Source organism: Homo sapiens, chromosome 6 (assembly GCF_000001405.40).
Source record: "Homo sapiens chromosome 6, GRCh38.p14 Primary Assembly".
Lineage (NCBI taxonomy): Eukaryota > Metazoa > Chordata > Mammalia > Primates > Hominidae > Homo > Homo sapiens.
In genome coordinates this window covers 159607-172914 of record NC_000006.12, presented here as the reverse complement: position 1 = coordinate 172914, position 13308 = coordinate 159607, and the positions used below count along the sequence as shown (strand labels likewise).

The window sequence follows — 13308 nt, the reverse complement described above, 5'->3', positions numbered from 1 at the left end:
AGTGTCTGTGGCTTTTCCAGGTGCATGGTGTAAGCTGTTGGTGGATCTAGCATTTTGGGGTCTGGAGGATGGTGGCCCTCTTCTCACAGCTCCACTAGGCAGTGCCCCAGGTGGGGACTCAGTGTGGGGGCTTAAACCTCACAGTTCCCTTCCACACTGCCTTAGCTGAGGTTCTCCATGAGGGCCCTGCCTCTGCAGCAAACTTTTGCCTGGACATCCAGGCATTTTTATACATCCTCCGAAATCTAGGTGAAGGTTCCCAAACCTCAATTCTTAACTTCTGTGCAACCACAGGCTCACCACCATGTGGAGGCTGCCAAGCCTTGGGGCTTGTAACCTCTGAAGCCACAGCCTGAACTGTACCTTGGCCCCTGTTAACCATATCTAGAGTGGCTGGGATGCAGGGCACCAAGTCCTTGGGCTGCACACAGCAGTGGGGGCCTGGATACCTACAAAACCATTTTTTCCTTCCAGGCCTTCAGGGCTGTGATGGGAAGGGGCTGCCCAAAGTTCTCTTACATGCCCTGGAGACATTTTTCCCATTGTCTTGGTGATTAATATTTGGCCCCTTGTTATGTATGAATATTTCTGCAGCAGGCTTGACTTTCTCCTCAGAAAAAAATCTTTTCTATCACATTATCGGGGTGCAAATTTTCTGAACTTTTATGTTCTGTTTCCCTTTTAAAACTGAATGCTTTTAACAGCACCCAAGTCACCTCTTGAATGCTTTGCTGCTTAGAAATTTCTTCCACTAAATACCCTAAGTCATCTCCCTCAAGTTCAAAGTTCTACATATCTCTAGGGCAGGGGCGAAATGCCACCACTCTCTTTGCTAAAACATAGCAAGAATCACTTTTACAGTAGTTCCCAATGAGTTCCTCATCTCTATCTGAGACCATCTCAGCCTGAATTTTATTGTCCATATCATTATCAGCAGTTTGGTCAAAGGCATTCAACAAGTCCCTAGGAAGTTCCAAACTTTCCCACATTTTTCTGTCTTCTTCTGAGCCCTCCAAACTGTCTCAACTGCTGCCTATTACCCAGTTCCACATTTTTGGGTATCTTTACGGCAGCACACCACCCTACTGGTACCAACTTACTGTGTTAGTCCATTTTCATGCTGCTGATAAAGACATACCTGAGACTGGGTAATTGATAAAGAAAAAGAGGTTTAATGAACTCACAGTTCCACATGGCTGGGGAGGCCTCAGAGTCATGGCAGAAGGGGAAAGGCATGTCTTACATGGTGGCGGACAAGAGAGAAAGGAGTGCCAAGTGAAAGGGGAAACCCCTTGTAAAATCATCAGATCTTGTGAGATATATTCACTACCACAAGCCCAGTACGGGGGAAACCACTCCCTGGATTCAATTATGTCCCACCAGGTCCCTCCCACAACATGTGGGAATTATGGGAGATACAATTCATAATGGGATTTGAGTTGGGATACAGCCAAACCATATCATACTCCTTATTTACAGGACGCATTAATTTGTCTTTTTTTGAGATATGATCTTTCTCTGTCAGTCAGGAAGGAGTGCAGTGGTGTGGTCATGGCTCACTGCAGCCTTGAACTCTGGGTTCAAGCCATCCTCCTGCCTCAGTCTCCCAACCAGCTGAAACTACAGGAATGCGCCACCATGTCTGGCTAATTGTTTTTAACTTTTTGTCATTGTTTTTAACTAATTGTAATTGTTTTTAACTAATTGCTTTTAACTTTTTGTAAAGATGGGGGTCTCACTATGTTGCTCTGGCTGGTCACAAACTCCTGGCCTCAAGTGATCGTTCTGCTGCAGCCTCCCAAAGTGCTGGGATTGCAGGCATGAGCCACCACACCTGGCCTAGATTATTATTTTCAGAGTCTTATTCTGAGAGCCATTTATTGACCTTGGCCTAAATAACTCAATATGATGTCCCTAAAACTTCTTTAGAAATTATTGGGCATGATCATGAAGGAAGGAGATTAGAAACTTTCTACTAAGAAATAACTTAGAGTCATTTAGGGAGGAACAAAAATAAGCAATCAGAAAAATAAAAGTGTAAGATCAAGTGCAAAAGTTCTGTGGCAAAGATGATAAAAGTAACTAATATATCTTTTTGACTCTTGGTGGCTTTAACTTTGTTCTTGATTTTCTGAGTAATTTAAGCGTTCACGTTGGAAGAATCTACCGCATTATAGATAACATTTTATTGCAAGTAAATGTATTTCAAAATTTGTTACTGGTTTTATAATAAAATAGTGTCAGCCTACTTCATTATCAAGCTGTACTATTTTATTTATGCAGTTTGATGAACTTACAGCAGAGCTGGAAACTATATCTTCAAAAATGTCTATATTTGGCTAAAAAGAATCAAGTTATTCAACAGGAGTTATTATCTATGAAAGAAGTACAACAGAAATGTAAAAAACTTGAGGAGGTTAACAAAATTTTGGAACAAGAAGTAGTGAATCTTAAGACACATGAAAAAAATATGGTAGAATTTGGTGACGTAGAAGAATGTAAATTGCAGTTGGAAGAAAGAGCAGGACAGGAAATAGAAAAATTAGAAGAAATCAATTTACAGGTTAGTTTTTTTAATCAGGTAGGTTTATCTGTAATGTGCTTTCATTTATTTCACTGCAAATTATAATATAGACATACAGTGTTTTGTCTGCCTCTCTTATAGGAATTTGCTTTGTAGAGTTTTAGAAAAAAAGGTGGCACCTGTTTCTTATTTTAAATATTTAAATTTCCATCATGATTATAACTAAGTTGATCTTTCAGAGTAGTGAGTTTCACTATACAGTCATTTGGTTATTAAAACCAGTTAGCATAAGACTATTAGAAAAAGAAAACTCTGATTTAAAATTATATGGTACTTTTGAATTGGTCTTACGCTACATTGTTCAGTTTTTAACATTTCCAATGGATTCTATTATTTTTAAATGATTAGATTACATGAACACTAACAAGAATGATTTCAAATTTTTATAATTCATATTTAATTCTGAATTCTGTTATCAATTTAGATGAAATTGCTAATAGATGTTTTAAACTTCAGCCCCTTTTTAAAACACATATTTAAAATTGCTTTCTGAATCACTGACTCAAAATGAAAGGCAACAAATAGAGACTAATTAGGTTATAATTGTTTTAAAAGTATGATTTTTTATTTGTTTTAGAAACAAGCAGAATATGAAAAACACAGCAGTTAAAAGAGAATAATATGGCTTTGATGAATAAAAGAGAACTCTGACTGAAAGACGTGGAATGTCAATTCTCCAAAATGAAAACCGCTTATGAAGAGCTTACTACGGAATTAGAAGAATATAAGGAAGTCTTTGCAATAACATTAAAAGCTAACAAATCCATGTCAAAAAATTTAAAGAAATAAGTCAAAACATACACTTGTAGAAAATCAATCAAGTTCATTAATTTGCCATGAAAGCATAATTTTTAGTGAGACAACTTCATGAGATTAGTAGGAAGTGAAAGCTATCCTGATAGTATAATTTTTGAAAATAATGCTAGTAAATAAACTTACATTTAAAATGTTAGTCAAGGACAGTTTCTGTCTCTTCCCTCATTTTTTTTTTAACTTTTGTATGGCCTTTTCCCCTGAAAAATCTTACGTAGTTAACCTAGTCTATTAGTCTTTTAGCATTTTTGAAGCTTTATGGTCAATAAAGTGATCTTGCTGTAAAATTACTTTTCAGAATTCTTCTAAATGGAAATATTAATGAATTTAATTTGTTTTTTAGTAGGTCACAATCTAAACTCAAAGTGCCCAAACTACTACTATTCTGGGCACGTCCTGGCATTTAGTAACTTAACTTTCCTGATTGTGATTTTTAGTATTATCACTAGAGGGCGCTTTGAGACAAACTTTTCTGTATAGTTTTTTCAGTCTACAGGAAGACATGCTTGTGAAATAGGGAATGATTATCCTAGGGATGAAAGAAAGTGTAATTTACAAAGTTGTTTAAAAATAACACCTTGGTCAGCCTGAAGGGGTGTGTGGAAGACAGAAAGGGCAAGCCCCACCTCCAGTGCCTTGGTCACAATGCTAAGGGCTGATTGCCTTCAGAGATGCTTTAGTTCTTTTTGATCACCAATCCAACCATCTAGTTCTCTCCTAGGAGTTCTTGCTCTGAATTATTTCTCAGTGTGAAATGCTTATTTTTTCCTAGATAATGGGTGAAATGTACAAGGGTGGTGAAAACAAATGTTTGAAAATATATTTAGGAGTGATTTCTAAAATCCTGAAACTGGTTTCTAAATACAAGTATTTCTAGCTTCTGTTTTTGTTTGTTTTTGTTTTTGTTTTAGTTTTCTTAATTGTATATTATTTAAGGCATACAACACGTTACTATATGTTTATTCATAGTGAAGTTGTTCTTATAGTCAAGCAAATTAACATATCATCTCACATAGTTACCTTTAAATACAAGTATTTCTTTTTTTTTTTTTAATTTTCCCGAGATGGAGTCTTGCTTTGTTGCCCAGGCTGGCGTGCAGTGGCGCAATCTCAGCTCACTGCAACCTCCGCCTCCCAGGTTCAAGCAATTCTTCTGCCTCAGCCTCCCAAGTAGCTAGGATTACAGGCGCCCACCACTGCACCTGGCTAATTTTTGTATTTTTAGTAGAGGCAGGTTCTCACCATGTTGGCCAGGCTGGTCTCGAACTCCTGACCCGGTGATCTGCCCGCCTCAGCCTCCCAAAGTGCTGGGATTACAGATATGAGCCACTGTGCCCAGCCTGAATACAAGTATTTCTAATGGCATCCTCAGAATCTTATAAGTACAGCCTTCTAGAAGGTAGCAAGCATTACCTATTGAGCCGTACATCGATAGCCATTTCTCTCTCCTTCCTACTTTGTTTGAATTACTTATTCACTAGAAATCTTCTTAGAAACATATGTGATTTTTTAAGAACGATTTTAAAATTATACTTGCTTATAACAGGTATGCTCTCACACATTTGGTGTTAAAACAGTTTAGTGGGTAATTTTGTTTGCTGTCAGGGCAATTTTTTAAAAATTGCAAATCATTTAGGAATCATTTAAGGAAAAATAAAATACTAGGCATTTGTTTTTTGCTATCTGTACAGATCAAATGAGATAATAGCAATGGTCAGCAGCAAGCTCCATATAGAGAAAGAGCAAATGAAATCTGTTCCCACCACTCTGCCTATGAGGCCAGACCCAGAGCCACCCTGGGTTGGAAATCTTAATAGTATAGGTCACAACAGAAAATATATTCCAAAACACCCATAAGGATCCCTACTTCAAGCCCATAGACTTCGAATAACAGCATGAACTGCTTGACTGAGGTTAGTTATATTACCTTTTCCCTTTTGGGTTTTGTTTTTCTAATATACTTCTTGTTTTTAATTTGGTGAAATACTGAGTCGTTCAATTGACTTATGCTTGTTAAGTGAAGGTCATAATTAGCTAATGCAGAAAGCAAATGGGAACTTTACGGTTTTTATAAGTCCTGGGAGCTCTCATTTTCAAGAGATACTTATTTGTTAACTTGATTCAATAAATGTAACTAAACTGACACATTTTAAATTGATTGAAAAACTGCATTTAAGTTAGGTTTTAGAAATTGCATGTTATTGCCTAATAACTAAAGGTAAGCTTTTTTTTTTTTTTTTGAGACAGAGTCTCACTCTGTCGCCCAGGCTGGAGTGTGGTGATGCAACCTCGGCTCACAGTGGTGCGATCTCGGCTCACTGCAACCTCTGCCTGCTGCATTCAAGCAATTCTCCTGCGTCAGCCTCCCAAGTAGCTGAGACTACAGGTGTGTGCCACCATGCTCGGCTAATTTTTTGTATTTTTAGTAGAGACGAAGTTTCACCATGCTGGTCAGGCTGGTCGCGAACTCCTGACCTCGTGATCCCCCTGCTTCAGCCTCCCAAAGTGCTGGGATTACAGGAATGAGCCACCGCGCTCAGCCACTTTGGCTTACTTTCTGATTGATTGTAGTTTTGGCTGCGGTTCATACCACTTTTAAAGTTTCTTTGCACTATCTCAAGTTTTCCATCCCTAATCACAGGGAAGCGGTGGGCATCCAAGCACTTAACCACATACGGATGTTTATTATTTAATGGAATCCAAAATAAACATCAAACACTAAAATATTTCTTTCCATTTTTATGTTAAAAGCTTTGTGGTTTTCTTTCTTTTTTTTTTTTTTTTTTGAGATGGAGTCTCCCTCTGTTGCCCAGGCTGGAGTGCAGTGAAGTGATCTTGGCTCACTGCAAGCTCCGCCTCCTGGGTTCACGCTATTCTCCTGCTGCAGCCTCCGGAGTAGCTGGGACTACAGGTGCCTGCCACCATGCCCGGCTAACTTTTTTGTATTTTTAGTAGAGACGGGGTTTCACCGTGTTAGCCAGTATGGTCTCAACCTCCTGACCTCGTGATCCTCCTGTCTTGGCCTCCCAAAGTGCTGGGATTACAGGTGTGAGCCACCTCGCCCGGCCCAAGCTTTGTGGTTTTCTTACATAAGAATACATTCTTTATTGCTATCAGACTTAACAGCACTTTTATTTCAACTTTTGTAGAATGTGTCTATTGCTGAGCAATTTTACAAGTTTTTAAATTATTAAATCAAGCACTATTTGCATTTTTAAAATGAAATTCACTTATGTCTCTACCTTGCCATCACTTGTGTGATTACTAAGGTGGCAGTGATATCAAGTCTTTTAATAGCAGCTGCAGCCCAGCAGAAGCAATTATATTAATCCAATTCAGAAGTTAATGCAGAGCCACACAGCATATTTCCATCTCCCCTGGGCTTGTAATAGAAAGCTTCCAATCCAACCATGTGATTTCACTCATAGTAAGAATCCATTTCTGGGAATCCCAAAATGAATCCAACAATAACAAGCTGTGTCAGATAAGGAAAAAATATATAGTTCAACTATGTTTGACCAAGTTGAAGATATTTGTCTCATGTTTAACTGTTTTTTGACTAAGAAAAAAATTTAAGAACCAGGTCCTGTGGCCCACACCTGTAGTCCCAGCTACTCAGGAGGCTGAGGCAGGAGGATGGCTTGAGCCCAGGAGTCCAGGGCTGTAGTGCCTCATGACTGTGCCTGTGAATAGCCACTGCACTCCAGCCCAGGCAACACAGTGAAACTGTCTCTTAAAGAAAAAAATTACAAACACCATAAAACAATGGTTTGAACAAAAATAAATAAATAGCAACCAGTTTTGCATATCATTGATATTAAAATATTCATTTCAATCAATACACATTCATTTACAATTTCCTTGGTGATTTCATAATCTCCTTAATGCAGAGAAAGGTAGCAAGTGGATGGGGCCAGCCTAAGGCACAGTGGAGGAAAAGGTGGTAAACTGCTGAGAGGTGTAGCAACTGTGAAATGGTAGCACAAGTCAGGCTTCTTGACCCAAACCTGGCTGGACCTGGGGAAGAAGTCAGACTGTTTGAGTTTGATCAGTCATACTGACGCATCCTTAATCAAACATAATTTCTGCAGCAAAATATATGGATATTTATAGTAACAGAATTAGATGTTATGAAGAGCCTTAGGTCAGTCCAGGTTTTGCTGCCAAAGAGTTTGTTGCAAAGTTTTAAAAGAAAGTTCAGTTTTTAAACCATATTTGGCTTTTGGAATTGCAGGTGAGGGGTTGTGGACCTGAAATTATAGTTAACACTTGGGAATCCAGGCCTGTTGTGTCTGCTTTACACACATTGGCTCTTACTGTTTTCACAATGCAATGAGGGTAGGTACCATGATGATCCCATTTTACAGGTGAAAGACAAGGGCACCAGGAAGTCTCTTTGGTAAGTGACTTTACAAAATCACACAGCTCGTCACTGGTGGCTCCATATTACACATTTTTCCTGGGCTACAGACTTGTGAAAGGGGGTCGGGAGAGATTGAGGGGCTGAGGTCTTTCTTGCACACCTCACGCACCTGGCATCTGCCTGCAGCGAGCCTGCCTTAGTGCCAAAAAGGTCAGAGCAGAAGGGGAGCTGGAGCCCCGCAGACATCACAATCACACTCTTGGATTTACTGAAGGCCCATGGGGACTCATGTCTGTGATTACTGGAGCTTATGATCTAATCAGGTGATAAGCTTCTCTCACAAGCCATAGAGGAATTTAAGTGTGATGTCCCGTGGACCAGAGGTGGTCAGAGACCCTGTGTATGGATAAGTTGGGATGCGGGCTGGCTGGGCCTTGAAGAAATTCAGGTAAACAACTTTATAAGGATTTTATAAAGAGATTCTTTATAAGGGACAAAGACTGTTACATGTGGAGATGACCTAATTTTATTCTTTTAGCTGTGCAAGATGTGTGTGTTCTGGAACATCACAGGTGAACATCCTTTGCTTGCGACTCCCTCATCACTGCAGAGCAGCATTCCCATCAGGCTCTGACTGGGTCAGCTGGAGAGTGTTCAGGTGTTTCTCTGCCAGTGTCCCTGTGCCTGTGTGCATTTGTGTGAGTGTGTAAAATATACATACCAAAATATATAAAATGCACAGGAACAGTTTAAAGAATAATGAACAACTCAGTTTAAGAAATTGAACCTTATGAAAACTTTATTTTTTATTTCCATGTTTTTGGGGAATAGGTGGTATTTGGTTACATGATTGTTTTTTGTTTTTTTTTTTTTGAGACAGAGTCTCTCTGTGTTGCCCAGGCTGGAGTGCAGTGGCCACTGCAAGCTCCGCCTCCCAGGTTCACACCATTCTCCTGCCTCAGCCTCCCCAGTAGCTGGGACTACAGGCACCTGCCACCATGCCCAGCTAATTTTTTGTATTTTTAGTAGAGATCCATGTTACTCAGGATGGTCTAGATCTCCTGACCTCATGATCCACCCGCCTCGGCCTCCCAAAGTGCTGGGATTTCAGGCATGAACCACCACACCCGGCCATGAGTAAGTTTTTTAGTGGTGATTTGTGAGGTTTTGGTGCACCCATCAACCAAGCGGTATATACTGAACCCAATTTATAGCCATGGCCTTCTCATCCTTTCCCCTGGAGTCACCAACATCCATTGTATCATTCTTTACCTTTGCATCCTCATAGCTTAGCTCCCACTTATGAGTGAGAACATACGATGTTTGGTTTTCCATTCCTGAGTTACTTCACTTAGAATAATGGTTTTCAATTCCATCCAGGTTGCTGTGAATGCCATTAATTCATTCCTTTCTATGGCTGAGTAGTATTCTGTCTTATGTATATACCATAGTTTCTTTAGTCACTCATTGATTGATTGGCATTTAGGCTGGTTTCATATTTTTGAATTGTGCTGCTATAAACATGCATGTGCAAGTATCTTTTCTCATATAATGACTTCTTTTCCTCTGAGTAGATACCCAGTAGTGGGATTGCCAGATCAAATGGTAGTTCTACTTTTAGTTCTTTAAGGAATCTCCACCCTGTATTCCATAGTGGTTGTACTAGTTTACATCCCCACCAGCAGTGTAGAAGTGTTCCCTTTTCATTGCCTCCTGGCCAACATCTGTTATTTTTTTATTTTTTTGTTTATGGCCATTCTTGTTGGAGGAAGACGGTATCGCATTGTGGTTTTGATTTGCATTTCCCCGATCATTAGTGATGTTGAGCATGTTTTCCATATGTTTGTTGGCCATTTGTATAAATTCTTTTGAGAATTGTCCTTAGCCCACTTTTTGAGGGGATTTTTTTTTCTTGCTAATTTGTTTGAGTTCATTGTAGATTCCGGATAGTAGTCTTTTTTATTCTATATATTTTGAACTTATTAGGTGCACACAACTTAAAAATTACTATATTTTCCTGATTAGGCAAATCTTCTCTCACTGTAAAGTGACCCTCTTTCTCTGATTTTTTTGTTTTTATTTTATTTTACTTCATTTTTATATTTTTAATTGTAAAAAACATACAGTTTACCATTTTAACCATTGAAGTGTACAGTTTAGTAGTACTAAGGATAATTACATTATTGTGCAGCCAATCTCCAGAACTTTTTTGTCTTGCAAAACTGAAACTATACCCATTAAACATTGACTCCCATTTCTCCTCCACAGCTTCTGTTAATCTGTTAATTAAAGGGACTACTTTAATTACCTCATGTAAGTGGAATTAAACACCGTTTCTCTTTTTGTAGTTGGCTTATTTCACTTAGTATAATGTCCTCAAGGTTTATTTATGTTGTAGTCTGTAACAGGATTTCCTTTGTTTTAAGGCTGAATAATATTCCATTGCATCTATCAATTCCATTCATTCATCAGTTGACACTTGAGTTGCTTCTGTCTCTTGGCTATTGTGAATAGTGCTGCTTTGAAAATGCACTGTAGGCCAGACGCAGTGACTCACACCTGTAATCGCATCACTTTGGGAGGCCCGAGGCAGGCAGATCACGAAATCAGGAGATCAAGACGATCCTGGCTAAAACGGTGAAACTCCGTCTCTACTAAAAATACAAAAAATTAGCCGGGTGTGGTGGCGGGCGCCTGTAGTCCCAGCTACTCAGGAGGCTGAGGCAGGAGAATTGCTTGAACCTGGGAGGCAGAGGTTGCAGTGAGCTGAGATCGAACCACTGCACTCCAGCCTGGGCAACAGAGACTCCATCTCAAAAAAAAAAAAGAAAATGCGCTATAGACATATATTTCTGAGTTCCTGCTTTCAGTTCATTGGTTCAACATAGTATTGGAAGTCTTAGCCAGAGCAATTACTGAGAAAAGTAGAAGCCATCCAAATTGGAAAGCAGTAAGTACAACTATCTGTGTTTGCAGATGACATGATCTCATATGTAGGAAACTCTAAAGATTCCACAATTGCAGAATTGCAGCAATTTGTATTTGCAGCAAAATTACAGCAAACCCATCAACCCGTCACCTACATTAGGTATTTCTTCTAATGCTATCCCTCCCCTAGTCCCCACCCCCTGCAGGTCCTGGTGTGAGGTTCCCCTCCCTATGTCCATGTGTTCTCATTGTTCAGCTCCCACTTATGAGTGAGAACTTGTGGTGTTTGGTTTTCTGTTCTTGTGATAGTTTGTTGAGAATGATGGTTTCCAGATTCATCCATGTCCCTGCAAAGGACATGAACGCATCCTTTTTTATGGCTGCATAGTATTCCATGGTGTATATATGCCACATTTTCTTTATCTAGTCTATTATTGATGGACATTTGGGTTGGTTCCAAGTCTTTGTTATTGTGAATAGTGCTGCAATAAACATACGTGTGCATGTGTCTTTGTAGTAGAATGATTTATAATCCTTTGGGTATATATGGGATTGCTGGGTCAAATGGTATTTCCAGTTCTAGATTCTTAAGGAATCGCCACACTGTCTTCCACAATGGTTGAACTAATTTACACTCCCACCAACAGTGTAAAAGCGTCCCTATTTCTCCACATCCTCTCCAGCATCTGTTGTTTCCTGACTTGTTAATGATCCCCATTCTAACTGGCATGAGATAGTATCTCATTGTGGTTTTGATTTGCATTTATCTAATGACCAGTGATGATGAGCATTTTTTCATATGTCTGTTGGTTGCATAAATGTCTTCTTTTGAGAAGTGTCTGTTCATATCCTTTACTTTTTGATGGGGTTTTTTCTTTTCTTGTAAATTTGTTTAAGTTCTTTGTAGATTCTGGATATTAGCCCTTTGTCAGATGAGTAGATTGCAAAAATTGTCTCCCATTCTGTAGGTTGCCTATTCACTCTGATGATAGTTTCTTTTGCTGTGCAGAAGCTCTTTAGTTTAATTAGATCCCATTTGTCAATTTTGGCTTTTGTTGCCATTGCTTTTGGTGTTTTAGACATGAAGTCTTTGCCCATGCCTATGGCCTGAATGGTATTGCCCAGGTTTTCTTCAAGGATTTTTATGGTTCTAGGTCTTACGTTTAAGTCTTTGATCCGTCTTGAGTTGATTTTTGTATAAGGTGTAAGGAAGGGGTGCAGTTTCAGTTTTCTGCATATGGCTAGCCAGTTTTCCCAACACGATTTATTAAATAGGGAATCTTTTCACTGTTGCTTGTTTTTGTCAGGTTTGTCAAAGATCAGATGCTAGTAGATGTGGATGTTGTTTCTGAGGTCTCTATTCTGTTCCACTGTCTGTAGATCTGTTTTGGTACCAGTACCATGCTGTTTTGGTTACTGTAGCCTTGTAGTAGAGTTTGAAGTCAGGTAGCATGATGCCTCCAGTTTTGCCCTTTTTCCCCAGAATTGTCTTGGCTATGTGTGCTCTTTTTTAGTTCCATATGAAATTTAAAGTAGTTTTTTCCAATTCTGTGAAGAAAGTCAGTGTTATCTTGATGTGGATTGCACTGAATCTATAAATTACTTTGGGCAGTGTGGCCATTTCCACGATATTAATTCTTCCTATCCATGAGCATGGAATGTTTTTCCATTTGTTTGTGTCCTCTTTTATTTCCTTGAGCAGTGATTTGTAGTTCTCCTTGAAGAGGTCCTACACATCCCTTGTAAATTGTATTCCTAGGTATGTTGTTCTCTTTGTAGCAACCGTGAATGGGAGTTCACTCATGATTTGGCTCTCTGCTTGTCTGTTATTGGTGTATAGGAATGCTTGTGATTTTTGCACCTTGAGTTTCTATCCTGAGACTTTGCTGATGTTGCTTATTAGCTTAAGGAGATTTTAGACGGAGACGATGGGGTTTTCTTTTCTTTTTTTTTTTTTTTTTGAGACGGAGTCTCACTCTGTCACCCAGGCTGGAGTGCAGTGGCGCGATCTCGGCTCACTGCAAGCTCTGCCTCCTGGGTTCATGCCATTCTCCTGCCTCAGTCTCCGGAGTAGCTGGCACCACAGGCTCCCGCCACCGCGACCAGCTAATTTTTTGTATTTTTAGTAGAGATGGGGTTTCACCGTGTTAGCCAAGATGGTCTCCAACTCCTGACCTTGTGATCCACCCGCCTCGGCCTCCCAAAGTGCTGGGATTACAGGCATGAGCCACCGTGCCCAGCTGAGACAATGAGGTTTTCTAAATATACAATCATGTCCTCTGCAAGCAGAGACAATTTGACTTCCTCTTTCCATATTCGAATTCAATTTATTTCTTTCTCTTGCCTCATTGCCCTGGCCAGAACTTCCAATACTATGTTGAATAGGAGTGGTAAGAGAGGGCATCCTTGTCTTGTGCTGGTTTTCAAAGGGAATGCTTCCAGTTTTTGCCCATTCAGTATGATATTGGCTATGAGTTTGTCATAAATAGCTCTTGTTATTTTGAGATACATTCCATCAATACCTAGTTTATTGAGAGGTTTCAGCATGAAGGGCTGTTGAATTTTGTCGAAGGCCTTTTCTGCATCTATTGAGAAAATCATGTGGTTTTTGTCTTTGGTT

General features: G+C 39.5%; 1 pseudogene; it reads left to right on the top strand.

Annotated features, from left to right (window-relative positions):
• Positions 2284–5308, top strand: ANKRD18FP (ankyrin repeat domain 18F, pseudogene; annotated as a pseudogene).